Here is a 1575-nt window from a genome sequence, read left to right as displayed (position 1 = left end):
CTGATCTGGGAATCAGTGTTGACTTATTAATGAGGAGGTATAGAACTCATTAATGTGTGATAAGATGTTAAAGAATCCATCCTTTGGCTAGGTGAATGTTAAAGGACAGAAAAGGAATTAGAGTCAAGTCCAGAACTAGGGAGTGGTAAAATAGCCAATAGTTACAAACCAATAACCATCACATTGATAGATGGTTGTTAACTGAGAGTACTTCAGAGCAATGCTGCAAAGTCAGAAGGATCGCTGTGCCAGCAACAGCACACAAGGAAATGCAATGGTCTCAAACAAAAAGGTTGAGTGATCTAAATCATTGTTTTCCTTTGACATGCAAAAGTCTTAACAGTGGGCACAGGAAGGAGAGGTAAAAAAGTGTTCACTTTTGTGACCTCTGCACCTTTATGCTTTCCTTCATTATGCATATGTTCACAAAATCTCTCAGGAACTTCTTTCAAAATTCATATGAACAGACTCAATCTGCAAAGAAAACAGATCATGTGGATCCCAAGCACACGTGTGTTTACACAATGACCCCAAGTGGCAAACACTAACTAAAGAATATTACATTTGTTATCTAATTTGTTTAACCCACACAGAACCCTGAGAGAAGTATTATGAACCTCGGTTTCCAAAATAGGGAAAATGGGTCTTTATGATGTAATTAATCAGGAAACCTCTCTAGTTATTGTGCTTATAACCACTCTGCTCTGCTACTCTCGTTAGTCACTAGTGGTTTACTTAAGGTCACTTCATTACTATAGTGGAAGTACTTGCAACGTGAATGGCAGAATTCCCATAAGAAGCAGACTGTGGTATCTGACCAGCAGAAGTCTCCCAAGAAGTGCTTCCACAGCTGTTTCCAACATGCTCATGGTTATGTCCATACGACTTCCTCTTCCAACTCTGCCCTCTGACACCATGGGTGTGTGACCCAAGTACAGAGAGGTAGGTGTCCCTCCTGGCCCCAATAAGCCTTCATGATGTTATGGTTATTTTGTGGGCATCAACTTTCCCTTCAAACAGAGAACACAGTGATATACTTTATACTGTAAGTTCTCTGCTTTAGATGTTTGCTCCAGGAACAGATGCAAAAATACACAGCTGTACCCTCAAATTTTAGGGAAAGAGTCTGAAATACATCACCAGAGGTCTGCAGAATGTGTTCATTGTTAACAAATTGATGAGCTTAATTGGTTTTACTCTGTGATTTAAAAAGAAGTCCATTTTTGTCCATCTTAGCTACTCCACTTAACTTTTAATTTCACACTTTATTGCCTTTATTTTTGCTGTTCTCATCACTTGAACTATTCAGTTATCTTTGTTATGCTTGGTTAACAGCTATTAACTTGGCAAGCCAGTCTTTGCTTCAAGCAGCTATTCTCCCTGATTTAGTCAGTACATTCCATTTCAGTTCACATTCCAATAAGGAGTAATATGAGACACTAGAAAGAAGAGAACCCACACATCAAAAATTGCAATACTAAATTCATGTTTACCGCAATTCACAACCAGGAGATAATTCACCTATTACAATAAGTTGCATCACAAAGCTACAGGGATCTTACTGATAGAAGAGTT

At 38.6% G+C, this 1575-nt stretch overlaps 1 annotated feature.

Annotated features, from left to right (window-relative positions):
* Positions 1-551: an enhancer, noted in NCBI's record as "OCT4-NANOG hESC enhancer chr2:188480540-188481090 (GRCh37/hg19 assembly coordinates)". NCBI's record gives its function as "activates a minimal SCP1, AML or CMV promoter by ChIP-STARR-seq in naive H9 embryonic stem cells {active_cell/tissue: H9 hESC(naive)}" and the evidence as "EXISTENCE:reporter gene assay evidence [ECO:0000049][PMID:30033119]".

Source organism: Homo sapiens, chromosome 2, assembly GCF_000001405.40.
Source record: "Homo sapiens chromosome 2, GRCh38.p14 Primary Assembly".
NCBI lineage: Eukaryota > Metazoa > Chordata > Mammalia > Primates > Hominidae > Homo > Homo sapiens.
This window is presented reverse-complemented; position numbering and strand designations above follow the sequence as displayed.